Genomic DNA, 19,418 nt, shown 5'->3' with positions numbered 1-19,418 from the left:
TCCCAGCCCTTTTTCTCACTTCAGCCTGGCACACCCCCTCCTCATGATGCCTTCCTGGGTCAGATCCACTCAAGTCACTGAATTCAACTCCACATGTATCAACCCAGAGCCTTATGTGGCTAAGTCCAATGATGCACTATCCCTTCTCCTGGGCAAAAATAAAAGCAATAAGATTTTCTTCCCAATGTCCCTCTAGAATTAGTAATGAACTTGCCCTGCTCTATCCAAATCCTTTTGCCATTCTCTGATGTTGACTCATAGGCAAAATGAGTGATTAGGGCAGTGGCCTGTATCAGCGGAACTAAGCTTACTGCCATTTTGAGACAAAGGTAACTGGTCTTTTGGGATTTGAACCAATGACCTGGACCTCATTGGCACAATGCTTTAGCTGACACAGACTAGCCCATCATCTACTTTTTGTTATCTATTCTAAAGAAGGGGTGCACTGGACATGAATAATAGAAGCCGTAGGTAATTCAACTCAACGAAAAGCTAATGAGGGCATATGGTAAGCCAGGCCTTGTGTTACACAGCAGGGTACTCTGAAAAGACCTTCATATTTGGCATCGGAGATCCTGGGTTTGAATCACGGCTCTACCATTTGTTGGCTACGTGATCTTAGGTGAGTCACTTGACTGCTAGGTGTCTCAGTTTTCTCATGGGTGGGATTTTATTGAGGATCAGATGAGATACAATATGTGAAAGCACTTCTAAACAGTTGAGTGTGAGATATTGTTAGTTTTTATGTAAAGAACAGGACCCGATCTCTACCTTTAAGGCTTTTACCTTTTGTCTGAGTCTGATAGGATTGGATTTCTTCCAGAGAGAAAATTTCCTTGAGGAATAAGCTCAGGGCTCCAGTCCACTCGAGCAGAAGGGAACCTTCTTGTGGGAAGAAGTCGTCTTCCCTCCATGTGGTCTAACTTCCCAATCAGGGAGGAGGCTGCTGGTGTCCATCCATCTGAGCAGGTGGCAGCTGACTGCCATAGGTAAGGGCACACAGCCTGGAATATGCATTCATGGATTACAGAGAATTCACAGATCTCTCTGGGTAGACCCCCCAGGTAGGATATATGTAGATATTTTGGAGCAAATTGTTCTAGACAAACGGTTTAAAAATCAAATTTTCCAGGCTGGGCGTGGTGGCTCATGCCTGTAATCCCAGCACTTTGGGAGGCCAAGGTGAGAGGATCACCTGAGGTTGGGAGTTCGAGACCAGCCTGACCAACAAGAAGAAACCCTGTCTCTCCTAAAAATACAAAGTTAGCCGGGCATGGTGGTGCATGCCTGTAATCCCAGCTACTGGGGAGGCTGAGGCAGGAGAATTGTTTGAACCCGGGAGGCTGAGGTTGCAGTGAGCTGAGATGACCCATTGCACTCCAGCCTGGGCAACAAGAGCGAAACTCCGTCTCAAAAAAAAAAAACTAAAAAAAAAAATACGGCCGGGCGTGGTGGCTCACGCCTGTAATCCCAGCACTTTGGGAGGCTGAGGCAGGCAGATCACAAGGTCAGGAGATTGAGACCATCCTGGCTAACATGGTGAAACCCCATCTCTACAAAAAATACAAAAAAAGTTAGCTGGGCGTGGTGGCGGTCGCCTGTAGTCCCAGCTACTCGGGAGGCTGTGGCAGGAGAATGGCATGAACCTGGGAGGCAGAGCTTGCAGTGAGCCGAGATCGCGCCACTGCACTCCAGTCTGGGCGACAGAGCAAGACTCCATCAAAAAAAAAAGAAAAAAAATCAAATTTTCTCCTAATTGACAGAAACCTTCTCCCCATAAGTCCCACTCAATTTGAGAAGATGTGTACATTTTGACCGGTAACCAGTCAGACCTTAAACAACTAATTAAGTTGTAGAAATATTAATGGCCGTGCTCATGTTTGTCTAGAACTTAATGAAGCACATGAGGTGAGAAACTAGAACTAAACGAAGCACATGAGGTGAGAAACTAGAGTTACCCAAGTTTGGAAATCTTATAAAGTGGTTAGTGTTCAGGAAAGGTGGAAGAAAATTGAGAGGCTTTAAAAAAAATCAAGATTGGGAATATTAGAGAATGTAATCCACTAGAAAAATCATTCAGCTGGGAATAAATGAGAAATAGATGAATGAAAAAATTCTCTCATTTCTTTCTTTGGCATGTATTGAGTATGATGTGGTAGGACATGTTCTAGCAGCTGGGGTATGTAGTAGACCCCTGTTGTCTGGTGGAGCACGCATCCCCCAGTTACTAAGGAGTCACAGCTGCACCCTTCTCTGGAGCCCTGCAGCAGGGAAGCACTCCCCCCAGCTATGCCTGGGAGATTATGCTGCCTTCATCCCACACACACACACTCTAGGAGCAGCTTGCAGCCAATGCCCAGTTGTTGGGGATGGGGGTAAAAGCACAGTCCCCTTGTCTCAAGTGGGCTGACTCTGTGATGTTATTCAAGCTCCAAAGTGCCCCCTGGAATCAGGCTGAGGCTAGACCCACAGCTTGACTGATCTCCCCAGCCCTATCCAGTTTCCCTCACTCATATGAATTTCATCCTCAATAAATCACTTGAGTAAGAAGAATTCTCACCTCAGGGTCTTCTTCTAAGGAACCCAAGTTAAGACAATGGGCAATGCTGAATAAATCAGAAGTAGTCTCCCTCTGGGAACTTGTACTGGGGGAGGATACAGACAAATACACAAGCATTTATAATGTAGAGTCACAATGGTAGCTTCAGAAGATTCATGGTGCTCTGGGAACAGGAATGGTCACAGAGTGTTTCTTTAGAGTTGAACATTTCTGAGCTGAGAACTGAAGTATAACTAGGAGCTGGCTGGGTAAAGAGGTGGGGGAAATAAAGAATTTCTCAAGCAGAGGAAAAAGAAGATATGGAGGACGAATGGAAGATACTGCAATATATGCCCCCCAAATCATAAACGGTTCAGTATGACTGAAGCCAAGGGTGACAGTAGCAAGAAAAGACACCAGATACAGATTATGAAGGGCATAGTGAGATATTAACACATTTCTATTGTATCCCTGGGCAAAGGAAAAATAATGAAGAATTTTAAGTGGAGGACACATGATAAGGAGAGGTGAAGCCAGCTGGACTTCCTGTGTCGAGTGGGGGACTTGGAGAAATTTTCTGTCTAGCTAGAAGATTGTAAACACACCAATCAGCACTCTGTAAAAATGGACCAATCAGCACTCTGTAAAATGGACCAATCAGCTCTCTGTAAAATGGACCAATCATCACTCTGTAAAATGGACCAATCAGCTCTCTGTAAAATGGACCAATCAGCAGGATGTGGGCGGGGCAAATAAGGGTATAAAAGCTGGCCACGCGGAGCACCCAGCCAGCTGCTGCAACCCGCTGCCCTCTGGTGTCCTGCTGTGGGAGCTTTGTTCTTTCACTCTCGTAATAAGTCTTGCTGCTGCTCACTCTTTGGGTCCGCACTGTCTCTGTGAGCTGTAACACTCACCGCGAGGTTCTGTGCCTTCGTTCTTTAAGTCAGGGAGACCACGAACCCACCGGGAGGAACAAACAACTGTGATGCGCCATCTTTAAGAGCTGTAACATTCACCGCCGGGGTCTGCGGCTTCATTCCTGGAGTGAGTGAGACCACGAACCCACCAGAAGGAAGAAACTCTGGACCCATCTGAACAGCTGAAGGAACAAACTCCGGACACACCATCTTTAAGAACTGTAACACTCACCGGGAGTCTCCGTGGCTTCATTCTTGAAGACAGCGAGACCAAGAACCCACCAGAAGGAATGAATTCCGCACACAGTAAGATTTCTATTTTTAAAAAATCTCTGGGCTGTAGAACGGGAAAAAAAAGACTTGGAAGGCAAAGCTGATAGTAGGGATACAACACCAGTTAATATTTCAGTTGTTGTATTATAGGTAAGGGCTAGAGTATTGGCATTGGAGAGACGGACTAAATTCTCAGCTCCAACCCTTACCAGCTTGGGTAAGTTATTTATTCTCTTTAAATTTCAATTTCCTTAATGGTAAAATGGGGCTACAGTAATAACCAGAGCAGATACGCACATTCAAGGATCTAATGTATGAAAAGGGTTTTATTATTTTTGCAACAGTTGGCACCCTGGAAGCACCATCAAAATGATCTGTTATTATCCATGTGATCTTAACTTGGGCAACAGTAGTGGAAATGGAAAGACAGATCGCTGGTGCTGTGGCACACACCTGTAGCTCCAGCTTTTCAGGAGGCTGAGATGGGGATCACTTAAGTCTAGCTTGGGCAACATAGCAAGACTCCATCTCTAAAAAAAGTGTAGATGGATTAAAAAATGGTAGGAGGTGGAATTAAAGGGTTGGATGTGGAAGTGGAAATGAAAGAAAGTGAGGTGTCAAGGGTTTCTGGCTTGGGCAGCAGCAGGTAGGTTGCAGCATATTTTCTTGAGATAGGACTTTAGGAGGAGGTAAATATTCTGAATGGAAGCTGTAGAACTGGATGTGCTGCTTTTGAAGAGCCTATGAGATACCCAAAGTGGAATTGTCTGGAAAGTAGTTGTACAAGAGAGGCTGAAGTTGAGGAGAGAGATCTGGGTAGAACATACATAGGTAAGGTAGAGAGAAGAACTCAGACAGTGTGTACTGAGAATAGAGAAGAGGGCGAGGCACCGCACTGGACCTGGGAGACAAAGGTGAGAAGACAAGACACCCACTCTCAGGAAACTCAGTCTGGTTGGGGAAGCAGATAATTAAACAGATAATTAGAATACAGTGGAATACACCCCATAGGTTGTTTTGGACCAAACCTGTGGGGTGGATCCCAGCAGTTGAAGGAACTGAATGAAGATAGAACAAGGACTCTAAAGGTCAGAGCTAAAATTGGAAATACTCAACAGGGTGGGGATGGGGCAAGGAAGGAAAGGGTGGAACAACTTGGAAAAGATTTTGAATGCTCTTAAACCAGAGACAAAGTAATTGACTGGAACATCGCAGCATTAGGAAGAATGTTAGTGCTCTTGGATTCCATGCTTCTCAGACCGTGCTATCTTGGAATCCTCACAGTTCTGAGGGGCCCCTATAATTAGAGGCCACCATAGTGGAGGAGTTGAAACCAAGCAGACACCCTACTAAACCAGAGTTGTTGTCTTGTTTTGCACATTAAAACTGTGTACAAGCTTTGTTTTGAAAAAAAAAGTTGTTATGCCTGAAAAAGAATTGAAAACTACCAACTTAAGTAAATTAATGTACAGATAAAGAATAAGAGGCCCAGAGAAGCTAAGTCACATGCTTAAAATCAAATCATACAGCTCATTAGGGATCAAGTTGGGCCTAGAACCTAAATTTTTTGTTCTCAGGCTGGTGTTCTTTCTTGCTATGTCTGAGACCTCGTACTTCTAATTTGCCTAGTCCATATTCATTTGTATCTTCAGATTTTTCTGAACTGTAGTAAAAGAGATGTGTATTTCAAACATCATGAGAACAAGGCGTGGGAGGGATCTTACAGAGCAGCAGTTAAAATCATTGCTGGCATGTGGTCTTTCACAATAAAATTCTCCCCTTCCTTTTGATTCCTCTAGGCAACAGCACAAAGTTAAACCAGGAAGTCCCTCTGCCTTGCTAGGGATCCAGGTTTGCCTTCCTGTTGAGGTATCCCATTTCATTACAGTTGACCTAAGTTTGAACAAACACTGCCACCTGATGCATGAAAGCTCTACTGTGACCTACGTTAAAAGGTAATTTAAAAAAAAACGAAACATAGAATCATGACTCATACAGATTGAACATGAACATGTGTTAGAGATTTTATTTAACTCAATCTATGAGAGAACTAGGCAGATATTATAACTGGATCAAAAGAGAATACAAAGAACATGTATAGATCAAGAATATTGAATGCACAAAAAAAGGGCAAAACTGACTTCTTCCACAGAGGGAGCGGGAATCAATTGAACCTCTACCAGAAGGGACAAAACTTGAATGTTTACAGAGAATAATTATTTTGCAATGCTATCAGCTAGCTACAGTTTACAAAGTTGTGAAATAGCTCCCATAGAATCCAAATCAGATAAAAGATAGCAGAAGGGTGTGTGATGGACAACACATAGTTTTCCAAATATGTGCAGACATTTTCCTTACAACTGTTAGAAAAGCAGAAGTATCTTTTACAATAAAACATGGGCATCCCAGGTTCCTTTTTCTGTTTTATATACATGCAAAAATATACAAGTGTGTATGTGCATATGTATTTGCATATGCTTTTTAAAATAAAAATTTCACAAAAAAGAACTTAATCCTGTATTCATGCAATGTACCCTGATACTTTTTATTCTATTCTTTGTTAATGCTGGTATCCACACAAATTAATTTCGTGACTCCTTAATGGGTTACTACCCACGAATGGGTCAAGGATTCACAGTTTGTAAACGGGACTAGATCAGTGCTCCTCAAACTGTCTGTTGTGAAGCACCAGTTTTTAAATATTTGACAGTTTTCAGTCCTTCACATACTGACTGATGCTTTTGTAAAACACAATAAAAATAAATTATTAGAAAAATGAAATGAAAAAACTCCCATAGACTTATGAAATGCAAGCTCAACTTTTTATTATTAGATTTAACAGACATAAAATTGGATGCTGGGGCAAGGTCAAATTCCTATTTAAAGATTTCCAAATGCATATTTTGTTTCTATGCTTTGTTTCTGCACACTGGAACAGTGGTGGATTCCACTGGTCCTTGGACCACACTTTGAGTAGCACTGACTAAGTGACCAGCTCTGACAGTATGGTGATTTTTTGTTTTCCAGGAGCTGACACTCCCTCAGGCTACCTTAGTCAGTGGGGGCTTACTGCAGCATACCTGTGGCGATGAGAGAGAGAGGCACATCACAGGAGCATCTGGCACCAGTGGCATCCTGGTGAGTGAAATGTCATATGGACACTGGAAGGATCTAACACTGAGGTGGCCCTTCATCTCTGTGCTGTTCACCACGAGCATGCCTGGGCTGCTCTTCTGTGTTCTTCCTGATGTTTCTCATGATACTGATTGATTTTTGGAATTTCCCAGTTCGTATTCCCAAGAGAACCCATTGCCCTATTTAATCATCACTTCTGTTGCTGCAGAACTTTGTGCAGTACTGGGATTGCTTGCTGCCTTAATGTCAGGAGTTGGCCAGGCATCCAGTCAAAGGGCAGAGTAGGCTCTTGTGGTATCGAAATGGCCACCCTCCTTCAAGGAGCAGCAGGTCCTCTTCCTCAGCACAGAAGGCAATGGTGAGGAAGAGGCTAATTTTCCTTTGAAGAGGATTTTGAGAAAAGGTTGGCCCATCTAAAATATTTTACAATTCTCTGTTCCCAAACCCTGAATAATCCTTGGAGGTCACTCACTGTGCAGGAGGCTGAAGAAGGGTAACACTGTCAAAACTGCAGACACAGACCCTTCTGGCTCCACCTCTATCCTACCCTAGAGCTAGGTTAAAGAGAGACTCTGGAGAACTTACTCATACCCAGTGGGGTACTTCTACATTTCTCTAAAGTCAGGAGACACTTTCCCTTTGTGAATATTTATACTTCTGAAGACATTTGCAAATCTTTAAACTCTTGGTTAAACAATAGTTTATACTGTCCCCCTATAATTCAGAAAAGCATAACTTCAAAAGAATGATGACAAACTTGGCCGGGTGTGGTGGCTGATGCCTGTAATCCCAGCACTTTGGGAGGCCGAGGCGGGCGGATCACCTGAGGTCAGGAGTTTGAGATTAGCCTACCCAACATGGCGAAACCCCGTCTCTACTAAACATATAAAAAATTAGCCAGGCATGGTGGCGGGCACCTGTAATCCCAGCTACTGGGGAGGCTGTGGCAGGAGAATCACTTGAACCTGGGAGGTGGAGCTTGCAGTTAGCCGAGATAACGCCACTGCACTCCAGCCTGGGCGACAAGAGTGAAACTCCGTCTCAAAAAAAAAAAAAAAAAGACAAACTCAATGAAACACATAGAACAATCAAGGTGTACAGAGATGTAGACAGTGGTAGTGAACAATTCTCTACCCAAAGCTGAAGGAGAGTCATTGCCCACCATAAGTCAATCCAAATCTGAGAAAATTACAACTTAACCCCTTTACTTTAAGGGTTGCCCATGAATAGTCATAGCTAGTTATGTCAAATCCTTAAATGCTGGAGTCCGTGTTTACATCTTTACCCATATCCTTTCATCTATTTCATTTCATACCAAAATGAACAGACCCATTACATGTTTAGATTTTCTAGGCTTGTCCACATCTCCCATATAAAAGATGTAATGTGTATAAAGTGCTTAATACAATGTCTGCTGCATAGTAAGCACTCCATAAATGTTAACTCTGACATACATATATATTAAATCTATACTAGCTAGATTGCTTGAATTATTTTTTGTGCATGTGGCTGTATTGATGCCTGCTTAGGTAATAGCCATCTTCATTATTCAATATGATTCTGGTTTCCTCTGAAGTTTAGTGAGGTGTGGTTTTTCTGTGATGTTCTCCTCCACTAGTTTTCAAGCTCATCTTGGAAGGTCTTTTACAACCTCGATAACGCCCTGCAGTTATTAGTATCAAGAATGCTCTGTACACTGTGGGCACCCAGCACATGCTGCTGGCTGGCTGACTGATTTACTATGCCTCCCCCTTGCCCATTATAAGCTTTCATCACTGCAAATGTAAGAACCTTCTTTTCTACATCTCCTGCCATCCAGAACAGTCTTCATAGATCTCCCTGCCTCATTGACTCATCACCTCATTTCACCCTTTCTTCCTTTTTCTGGACCTTCTAACTTTTTCTCCCCAGATTACCATTTTTTTTTTCACTCAGCATGCACACATTATCTAGTTTTGGAAAATACTCCCTATTTGCTCCTATATCTTAATTTGGCTGTCCCCATTTCTATGCTGCCTACTAGTATAAATGAGACAATAGCTCAAAGAACAATTTGTAAAAAATGAAAAACTCTGTGCAGACTTTCAGGGAAATTAAACACATACTTTAGACCAGGAGCTCAATCTATGGGTAAGAAAGCTTCCTTAGCTGTCTTCTCTATGAAGCTGTGATTGGGTGAATGTTTTTAAAGGAACTCTCTGAATATGAAAGGGGGTTGGGGTGGGATGAAGCCTTGGCCATCTGGATGAGAAAGATTCAGATGCTGAAACAGATCTCTGGAGTTAATGAATTTCACAGTCCTTTGCCCTTACTTTGCTTGTCTCAGTCTAGAAACAGACACCTGGTGTAAGCTTGTTAAATGGCAGGAATAAGTAAGAAGTGAAAAAGAGCTAAAGCAAACTTCTTTGCAAACTGCTCTCCTTGTGAAACTAAGCAGGTAGTTCTATGAGTGACGGTAACTCACATAGCCTCTTGGCTTTGTGTTGAACATAGCACCAAAGTTCACAAGCATTTACACACCTGCAGTTTTTTTTCTTTTTTTGTAGATCAGGTCTGGCCTAATTACAGGATTTCATTGTATTTTTATACATATAATAATCTAGTTTCCCCTGTAAATGATTCATTTACAATTCAATTAAACAGCCAAGGAGAACCAAATGTTAAACATGTTTTTAAATAAGATACAATGTGTGTAATTAGACAGAACACATACCCCTATCTTAGTGTTTGATTTGCGTGATAATACAAAATAGGTCATTTGAGGCTATGCCAAATATCAGGGATTAGATGACCTTTAAGTTCCTGTCAAGCTGGAGAGTCTATGATTTTGTGATCTGAGTGAAAAATGAAAAATTTAGTGCATCATCGAAATGTTTACAAGAATCCAGCTGTTTGATGTCAGGTAGACAAAACACCCAGACAACTGACAGAGATGCTTCATTTTCATCCAGATGTTTTTGCATTGCATTGATTTAGCCTGACACACAGCAAAGTTAAGTCACTTACTCAAGATTTCTGACAAAACCTTCTGAATATACTGGCAATAAAGTTGTTGAGAGATTTGCCATTTTAGTATCAGTGGCACGAATGTTTTGCTACTGCTCCATCGACAGCTTCTGAATCCATAAGATTTGAAAATAGTCAATTCAGTTCTCTCCACTCTGCAGCTCTGTGCTCTCCTCACTGTCTCCATTCCCCACACCCCCAAAGGTCTATCTTAACCTGAGCTCTGACCCATGACAAAGTGGTCTCCTCGATCACAGGGCTGTGTATGTGGCCTTTGTCATGGAAGCTGCTTCTGTTCACAGTGATCACTGTGTCTTGGGGACATTGCTGTCTGGGCCAAGGGCTGGCCAAATCAGAATTTCTGGCCATCCTAAAGGTTGATTGCAGCAGGCAGTCATAGCCACCATTCATCCTCCCATTATCATGGTCAATAATACCACTCATCTAGGCTTGGCTGTGATTCAGGGACCTGGCTGAGGTGACTGATGCTGACCAAAAGTCATTTTTTTTTTTTGAGATGGAGTCTCGCTCTGTCACCCAGGCTGGGGTGCAGTGGTATGATCTCGGCTCACTGCAAGCTCCGCCTCCCGGGTTCACACCATTCTCCTGCCTCAGCCTCCCGACTAGCTGGGACTACAGACACCCGACACCACGCCAGGCTAATTTTTTGTATTATTAGTAGAGACGGGGTTTCACTGTGTTAGCCAGGATGGTTTTGATCTCCTGACCTCGTGATCCACCTGCCTCAGCCTCCCAAAGTGCTGGGATTACAGGCATGAGCCACTGCACCCGGCCCTGACCAAAAGTCTTATCCACACACCTGTAAATCTAAACACTGACCTTGGGTTTGCAGCTGTAGCTACTATATGGAGAGCCATATGTGGTTTGCACATCAGTCTCTTTGACTCAGCTTCTTCTGGTTGCCTTGACTCCCATTGAATCCCCCAGTGCCTGATTGCTGCCCATCCCAGGCCCATCTGGTAACCCTCATGCTCCAAATGTTGCAAGCTTGACCACTTAGTTTGAAATTGTGCTTCAAAGGCATCTTCCTCTGTGATCCTTCCCGGCTTCTTTTCCCCAGGCACCCTGCAGCCTCACTTTCTTTATCACTGCCTCTTTCTGGCTCTCTGCACAGGCCCCGTTGCTGCCAGTCAAGCCCTGCCTGAATCTGGATAGTATGGCCTTGCATGCCCAGAGGGCTTTTGCTCCACCAAATCCCCTATGCGACCTTGAGCAAATCACAACACTTCCCTGGGCCCCACTGTCCTAATCTTAACATGAGAATGTTGGACTAAATCAGGTCTGAGGTCCCCTCCAGTTCTAAAATTGTATTATCTCTCTAATACTGTGAGACTGGCTGCCTTCCAAGGTGCCACTGCTCATCATTCTGTCTAGTTGTTATGCAAGGATTTCGGGAGGAAAAAAACATAAGGCTCCAGGAGTAATATCTTGAAAAATTATGAAATATGTCTGCTACCTTTCTCATCTTCATGAGCCCCTTGTTTTACTTTTGTGTTGAATTTAAAACTCAGAGACTTAAACTCACACATTATGACAGTTCTGTCACTTCCTTAAATTACGCAGTAAAAACACACAAAGGTGCAGGTAAGTTTAGCACCTTGAGTGTTTTGTAAGCAATGCTGTGTTGGGCTGAGGATGGGGGTGTGTGGTAGAAAGAGGTGCTGCAACAGAAGCCAGAAGGGAAGAAGAGCCTATAGGGGAGAGAGACATTAAGGGCCTGAGGGAAGGGAAGGTGCCTGAGCTCAGGGACTGTAAAGGAGGACTGTTCACCTTGAATGTCCAATCAGCACTTTCTCTGGAATTTAGATAATGTTAATTCCACATGTGAACATATTGCCTAAAAAAAAGAAAATAAATTTAGCGTATAAACAGTCCTTGGATGCTTCCAGTGGTTAGATTTTTCAGATAAACAATCTCCTATGGTATTAAGAGCTTGTCCTTCTCTGGCAAGGATGGTCCAGGACAGATAACATTGAGTGCTTTCCTCTAACATATTTATATTGGTTACATCAGGTTAATGAACACCCAAGGCATTTTTCAAGAAGTCACAAAGGGGGTGAGTCTGAGGAGCAGGTGTTGAAGTAGAAAGGAAGGCCCGTCTACACACTCTTTATGTGAGTGAATCAGAGGTTTTTGCTGTTGCAATTGTGGTTGTTTTTATAAGTTGAAACCACTAGCTGATACAGTGATTGACTTTCCCAAATATCCCTGGTGATGATTAAAAAAAAAAATCACTGAGATTATCCCCGATTTGGGCCTCTAAACTCAGGGATGGTTCTGGATAAGCAACCCTGTATCCAAGTGTGTCTTAGGTGATGCTGGTTGAGAATGGGACACCCATTCTCTGGGAGCCAGCCAGAGAAGTTACCCTGCTGTTGGAGAGACGGGCTATCACTGAGGAAACAGTGCATCACCAGGGAGGATCGAATTCATGCTCCTCCTCCCCCAACAACTCTCATACCCTCACAGATACTCCTTGTTTCTCCTTGTCTCCCTTTTCTCATACCCACATCAGCTTCCCTCACTCAGTAATCAACTCATTGAGGGTTTGCTTTAAAAATGTATCAACATCGTAATCTTCTCCAAATTAGCTTCTCTATGGCCAGGAGAACCTTAGGTTAGGATGTCCTTCTCTCGTAAAGTTTCTGTAGCAAGTGAAAGCAAGAGGGACCATTGGGGTGGTAGGGCAAGACACTAATCCTCAGTGAAAAGTCTAATCCTCAGTCACTAAGTGTCCTGGCAGATTAGAGGGTAAAGTGAGTGGGGAGAATCAGCTTAAAGAACCAAATTGGATTGGGCCAGAGCAGAGGTATAGGTATGGAAGAGTGGTTTTGTCAGTAGCTGCTGATTGAGCCAAGTTCAGCATGGAACTGACAGAGATGATATGGAAGACAACTTACCTAAGTAGCTCCTGGGTCAGAAAGAAGCCTCAAAGTGAGAGAACCTGGGGGGAATCTCAGCTGGAGTCCCCTTATGGGACTTTGATACATCAAGATCTCTTGGCTATTGAGGAGATAGTGGGTCCAGAAAGGGGATGAAGAATCTGGAAAAGTGTGGGAGATCAACCATGCATAATTCTTTTTATCACTATGGAGTTTGTTCTAGAATTTTACAGTTTACAAAGTATAATCACACATATTATCTCATAATTTCCACAGTTACCTAATGTTACTGAGAAGTAGTTTTAGCTAACTCTATTTTATAATTCATTCATTTGCTCAACATATTTTGAGAGCCTTTTATGCACAAGGCACTGTGCTGGATACTGGAGATACTACAATAGACAAGACTATATCAACAGTTGAAAAGTAATTGCCATTGACAGGATTATGCTTCGGTAAGGGTAGCTGGGCACAGCCAGCAGGAAGATCTGAGGTGGTCTAGGCAAGTATTTTCAAAAGAAGTGACATTTAAGATGAGACCTAGTAAATAAAGATGAGCTTAGGTGAGGGGTAAGAGATGGAAGCATGTTACAGCTAGAGGTACAATTTATTGCAGACCCAGACACGAGAAGGTCAGAGAAAATCAGAGAAAGCAAGCAAGTGAATTTGCCTTACTCTAGGACCCACACTTTGGTGATCACAGCTGGATGAAGAATGTCAGGGGATGAATCGGAAGAAATGAAACTGGAAAGAGGAAGGAACCAAGTCTTGAAGGGTCTTGGAAGCCATGTTAAGAAGGATGAATGAGAGGTAAAGAAGACGACATTGAGCTTTCTCACTTGGGCAGTTGGCGGATGGCAGTTGGTGGATGGCAGTGGGTGGATGACTTTACTGAGGTAGGAAGCCTGAGAGGAAAAGCAGGTTTTGAGGGAGAGTTGACTAATGCAGTTTAAGACATGTCATGTCGGAAACATCATGTATCACACTGTCCAGTAAGTAGTTGAAGACAAAGATCTGGATCTCAGGAGAGGAGCATGGGCTGAAGATGGCAATATGGAACTATTGCTACATGGTTGGTTATTAAAGACAAAGAAGTAGCTGAGATTGCCAGGGAGAGTAGACAGAGGAGAAACAGGCCCAGGATAGAGCTCCAAGGAACTTCAAAAGTAAAAAGAAGAGAAGGAGAACCCATAAAGGAGTTGAAGAAGCATGTTGTTCTGTTGAGAGAGTATATTCTGGCCATATGTCTCTGGGCAAGTTAGGTCACCTCTCTGAGCCATGGTCTTTTCATCTCTAACAAGGACAGTAATAGCACCTACCTTACGGAGCAGTACCTAGAAAGTTTATCGCAATTCTGGCACATAGTAAGCATCAATTAAGGTTAGCTCATGTTTTAGTAAGAAGAATGATAACAATGAAAAAAAACAAGTAGAGTACTCAGAAGAACATGAGATGAAGTTGATGGCATGAGGGAAGAGTGTTGAGACAAGAAAAAACTGGTCAATAAGGACAAATGGGCCAGGTGAAGTGGGTCACGCCTGTAATCCCAGCACTTTGGGAGACTTGAGATGGCAGGATCTCTTGAGCCCAGGAGTTCAAGGCCAGCCTGGGCAACAAAGTGAGACCTTGTCTCTGCAAAAAATAAATACATAAATAAAGACAAATGTACTGAGGTCAAAATAAAAAGGCTGAAAACAGTCTATTGGATTTGGCTGTAGGTAGGACATTGATGACCTTTGCAAGGTATGTTTCAGGAGCATGGTCTGAGATGAGAAGACCTGGAGATAGTAATTTTGGGAGAAATGGATTTTCAGACGAGTTCGGTAGTTAGGCTGAGGACACACAGCCAGTGAACTCTGTTGTCACATAGTGACCCGAACTCAGATTGTCAGACTCCAAATTTTGTTTTCTTTCCACCTATAGGACCCAAGGAAGATAATTTAACAAATAAACCTAACTCCATGATTTCTGCTTAGTTAACTGAGGAGAGGAAGGAATGAAAAAAATAAAAATAGAAAGAAAGGATGGGGTATGGGGAGATAGGAATATATAGCAAGGCACAGAATTTGTCAGGAAGGGTAATTAGGCAGACCCATTCCCAGGAACGGGAGGAAGTTGAATATAAAATCAACAAATGTTTCTTGAATGCCTCTCACGTGTCAAGCCTGTGGGGACTGCAGATGAAACAGAGACATAAGACACGACTCTTGCTTCCAGGAACAAGACATAAACATGAGAAAAATTTAAGTGCTGAACAGTTGTTTAAGGCAACAATGGAAGAGCTGCCACAAAGCAATATATGATTTATTGTCAAATGAATTGTAGCAAACAATGAATGAAAAAACTTCTTCAGAATTTGCCAAGGAAAGCTCACTCAGTTTCAGGTAGATGAACTGGACCCCTAAGCAGCGCCAGGTATGGGGGTCCCTGGGATTTGTGCCAAGAGATGGGGCTGCCCCTGCTAGTGGAGGGTAATAAACCTTGTGGCGTAGGCCCAGAAAAGCTGGGTGCCCTATAACTGGGCTATAGGATGAGAACACTGGTCTCCACCTGGCTCGGTGTGTGTGTGTGTGTGTGTGTGTGTGTGACAAAAATTGGAGAAAGACACATAGAAACAGATACGTACACACAGAGACATGGAAAAGGGTAGATGATGAAAGATAGGGAAAGAATGCCTGGCACATAGCGGCTCATTGGATAAATGAACACACAATCAAAGGAGATTCAAAGCAAAGTGTATGAGAGAGGCTGAGCCACATATTGGGAAATCTTTGAATCAGACTCAATCATGACTCTTTTTACCTGTGTGCATTTAGGCAAGGTTACTTGACATTTCTGGGTTTCCTTTTCTTTGCCAGACAGGAATAACAACATCTACTTTACCAGGCTGTTGTACCAGGACTGAATTGAATAACATGTATATAAATTACCTGGTACACGGTCTGATCCGAAGTCCATGCTCAATAAATGTCAGTTGTCAATGGCAGTTCAAGGTGCTTACAGATTGTCACCTTTCACTGAAGAAGTTTGAGATGCTTTATAAATATTAGCAGATGAAGTCTCACAAGACACTGAAAAAGTGGAAAACAAATGTTATCATCCTTATTTTATGCATGGAGAAGCTTGGCACTGAGAATCAGGGTTTTGCCAGAGGAATAAGCAATTCTGTGGGAGGATGGGGGAGGGAGGGGGATGAAGCAAAGCCTCAACAAAGATTCTCAAACATGGCCTGCCTTCCGTACCCGCCCTCCAGCCAGCTAGCCAGCAGGTGGTAGGGTCAGATTACATTTGCTCTCCCCTGCCTGGTCTCTAGCTCTGACTGGGGCTGGCTGGTGAGTTTGCAATGATGCAGTGTAACCCTGGGCGTTATTTCTCAAAAAATCAGGCAGCATGAAAGAGGATGAGCTCTGATCAGACCCAGCATTGATTCCTTCTGAGAGCAGTCTACGAGTCAGACTCTCTTTGGCAGCCTTTTCCCACCTCCTCCGTGACAACTTGATAATAGTCCGTCCTGGTGGAATTTTCTCCCCCAGGACATTCCTGCAACTGAGTTGCTTCGCCCTTTCAAAACACAAGTGAGCAGAGCCCAGAAACTGAAACAGCCTTCCGGTCTCATTAGCGCGCTATGTTTCTCTGTTGTTCCGATTTGTTATTGTGGTTCCTGGGTGTGAATATGATCACTTGTTAAAGTGGCCTATTTATACGCGTCTTCTCTTTAATTTACCTTCATTTCTCAGCACCCGAGAAATAGAAGGAAATCAGTGCACTGTGTTAATGATTTCTGTGGCCCTGGTTGCTAGGTGCGAGGGCAGAGGCCCAGACCCTAAGGAGGCTTTCAATATCTGAACCAGTGTCACTGTTGCCTCCTCCAACCCATCCTTCAGCGCACACACCAGGGAAGTACATCGGCGTTATGGCTGACTTGGGTATGAGTTTGTGAGTCAGAAATCAGCTCCTGGAGAAGAGCAGGAGAATTAAGGTTGAATGGGGATTGCACGCCCATGTACACAATTATGGTGCTTTAGAAAGGCCAGCTAGGACGTCTGGAATATAAACCAGGTTGTGAGGCCTTGGAGGGTGCTTGGCACACAGTAGGTGCTCAGCGAGTGGGGGCTGAATGTGACAAAGTAGAACCAGAGCTATGGCAAGAATGCCAACAATGCAGCAGGGCGTGGTGGCTCACGCCTGTTACCCCAGCACTTTGGGAGGCCGAGGTGGGCGGATCATCGAGACCATCCTGGCTAACACGGTGAAACCCCATCTCTACTAAAAAATACAAAAAATTAGCCGGGCATGGTGGTGGGCACCTGTAGTCCCAGCTAGTCGGGAGGCTGAGGCAGGAGAATGGTGTGAACCCGGCGGGTGGAGCTTGCAGTGAGCCAAGATCGCGCCACTGCAGTTCAGCCTGGGCAACAGAGCGAGACTCCATCTCAAAAAAAAAAAAAAAAAAAAAAAAGAAAAAGAATGCCAACAATGCTAGGTTCTTAGGCCTGAGGCTTGGAATACTGATTCATTCCAACTCATCCTTGGCCTTAGTTAAGTCCTTATTTCAGTAGGATAAGAATGTATGTAAAGCTCCAAAATATGTTTCTATTTACATTATAAAGCTCCACAAAGTAGCAAACAGGCACCTTTCTTCCTCCTTTAGAACTCTATTCTTAATTTCTTATTAGGACAGTCTTCCCCTCTGTTGGGAAGCAAGCTCATTTCTTCTGGACCTGCCCTTGGAGGAGATGGAGAGCTCCAGTTCGCTGTCTTTTTTTTTTTTTTTTGAGACGGAGTGTCGCTCTGTCACCAGGCTGGAGTGCAGTGGCGTGATCTCGATTCACTTCAACCTTTGACTCCTTAGTTCAAGTGATTCTCCTACCTCAGCCTCCTGAGTAGCTGGGATTACGGGCATGTGCCACCATGCCCAGCTAATTTTTGTATTTTTAGTAGAGACAGTGTTTCACCATGTTGGCCATGATGGTCTCGATTTCCTGACAGCGTGATCTGCCCACCTTGGCCTCCCAAAGTGCTGGGATTACAGGTGTGAGCCACTGTGCCCGGCCTCGCTGGCTTTTTTAAGGAGCCCTTTATGCACCAATCCATGTAATGCCTCAACCCCCTTTGTCTGCAATTCCTAGTCTTATTTCCTTCCATGTTTGTCAGTAATCTCATTAACCAAATATTTACATCATCCTTTTGCCCCTGCCACAACTTCTTTCGAGGAGAAATCAGGCTGGATATGATGAGAAGATACCAATACTGGTGCAATCATTATTTCCTACTTGTCTGTCTCACTCCCACCAATTCAGAATTAATAACAATGCCTAAATTAATAGTGCTCTCACCATGTGCCAGGGCTATACGTATATTATCTCAATTTATCTTTCAGCGACTCTATGATGAAAGTGCTAATAGTATTCCTGAATTATACATAAGGAAAACAAGGTACAGAGAGATTGAGTGACTTGCGCAAGGCCACACTAAAGAGTGGCAGAGTCTGGACTTGAAGTAGTCTGATGCCAGAACTCATGCTCTTGACAACCCTGCCATGAAACCACAGGATCAGTGTCTGTCATTCTTCTTCCTCTGCAGTCCCACTGGGGGTTCTATTATAAACACAGTGTTTACATTCTTTTCTGCTATATTGTATGGCATCAATCTTTAACATCTCTGAGTGAAGATTTTGTTTTTCCTTCACTAGTTATTCCCTTCATACATTCATTTTGTTTAGCATCTATTTCCTGACCACCTACTGGGCATCAGTTCTGTTGTATTAACTCTGCTGCAGTTCCAGTGACACTTTCCAAAGCCCTGGTGGCTTCAGTTTGCTTCTCACCTCTGCTCATCTTTTGTCCTTCCTTACCTTATTCCCATAGAAAATAAAGTTAAGAAGGATTTTCAAGGCTTGAAATTGAAAGAGCCTCATAAGTTATCTACCAACCCACTCGCTTTACCCATAAAGACCCAAATCAACAGAGCTAACTGTGGCAGAGCCTTGTTCTAATTAAAGTTTGTTCTCTTCTCTCTACTCCTTGCTACCTCCTTTTAGGATCAGTTACATAATAGATAATAAGTGTTATTTGGCCATGTGTAGCAACCTGTGAGTCAATTTTTAGTTTGTAAAATGGGAATAGTATTGATATTTATCCCTTAGGGTTCTAGTGAGGCTTAAATGAGTTAATACATGTAAAGAGCTTAGACTAGTGCCTGCATTAATAAATGTTAATGATATGACTTGACTCTGTGTCCCCACCCAAATCTCTGGATTGTAATCTGAATTATAATCCCCAGGTGCAGAGGGAGGGACCTGGTGGGAGGTGATTGGATCATGGGGCAGTTTCCCCCATGCTGTTGTTGTGATAGCGAGTGAATTCTCATGAAATCTGATGGTTCTATAAATGGCAGTTTCCCATTCTTTCCTCCTTCCTGCCGCCTGGTGAAGAAGGTGCCTGCCTCTCCTTCACCTTCTGCCATGATTGTAAGTTTGCTGAGGTCTTCCCAGCCATGTGGAACTGTGAGTCAATTAAACCTCCTTTCTTTATAAATTACCCAGGCTCAGGTGGTATTCTTTATAGCAGTGTGAAAATGGACTAATATAGTTAGTTTATTATTATTTTTTATTCCACCTCAGCATATTTCATTATTCATTTATAAGGC

At 43.3% G+C, this 19,418-nt stretch overlaps 1 long non-coding RNA gene across 1 annotated transcript in view, besides 5 other annotated features; it reads left to right on the top strand.

Annotated features, from left to right (window-relative positions):
• Positions 1 to 3,329: 3,329 nt before the first annotated feature.
• Positions 3,330 to 19,418, top strand: part of LINC00624 (long intergenic non-protein coding RNA 624) — a 135,684-nt gene continuing 119,595 nt past the window's right edge. The window contains exons 1-3 of the long non-coding RNA NR_038423.2: positions 3,330 to 3,762; positions 5,529 to 5,684; positions 6,757 to 6,867. This is a non-coding gene — a long non-coding RNA (long intergenic non-protein coding RNA 624). The remainder of the gene's footprint in view (positions 3,763 to 5,528; positions 5,685 to 6,756; positions 6,868 to 19,418) is intronic.
• Positions 4,933 to 5,133: a silencer, noted in NCBI's record as "peak403 fragment used in MPRA reporter construct". NCBI's record gives its function as "represses an SCP1 promoter by STARR-seq MPRAs in K562 erythroleukemia cells {active_cell/tissue: K562}" and the evidence as "EXISTENCE:reporter gene assay evidence [ECO:0000049][PMID:32103011]".
• Positions 10,486 to 11,144: an enhancer, noted in NCBI's record as "NANOG-H3K4me1 hESC enhancer chr1:146981878-146982536 (GRCh37/hg19 assembly coordinates)". NCBI's record gives its function as "activates a minimal SCP1, AML or CMV promoter by ChIP-STARR-seq in naive H9 embryonic stem cells {active_cell/tissue: H9 hESC(naive)}" and the evidence as "EXISTENCE:reporter gene assay evidence [ECO:0000049][PMID:30033119]".
• Positions 15,802 to 16,647: an enhancer, noted in NCBI's record as "NANOG-H3K27ac-H3K4me1 hESC enhancer chr1:146976369-146977214 (GRCh37/hg19 assembly coordinates)". NCBI's record gives its function as "activates a minimal SCP1, AML or CMV promoter by ChIP-STARR-seq in naive and primed H9 embryonic stem cells {active_cell/tissue: H9 hESC(naive and primed)}" and the evidence as "EXISTENCE:reporter gene assay evidence [ECO:0000049][PMID:30033119]".
• Positions 16,648 to 17,495: an enhancer, noted in NCBI's record as "H3K27ac-H3K4me1 hESC enhancer chr1:146975523-146976368 (GRCh37/hg19 assembly coordinates)". NCBI's record gives its function as "activates a minimal SCP1, AML or CMV promoter by ChIP-STARR-seq in primed H9 embryonic stem cells {active_cell/tissue: H9 hESC(primed)}" and the evidence as "EXISTENCE:reporter gene assay evidence [ECO:0000049][PMID:30033119]".
• Positions 17,496 to 18,341: an enhancer, noted in NCBI's record as "H3K27ac-H3K4me1 hESC enhancer chr1:146974675-146975522 (GRCh37/hg19 assembly coordinates)". NCBI's record gives its function as "activates a minimal SCP1, AML or CMV promoter by ChIP-STARR-seq in primed H9 embryonic stem cells {active_cell/tissue: H9 hESC(primed)}" and the evidence as "EXISTENCE:reporter gene assay evidence [ECO:0000049][PMID:30033119]".

The sequence above is a fragment of the Homo sapiens genome, chromosome 1 (assembly GCF_000001405.40).
Source record: "Homo sapiens chromosome 1, GRCh38.p14 Primary Assembly".
Taxonomy (NCBI): domain Eukaryota; kingdom Metazoa; phylum Chordata; class Mammalia; order Primates; family Hominidae; genus Homo; species Homo sapiens.
This window is presented reverse-complemented; position numbering and strand designations above follow the sequence as displayed.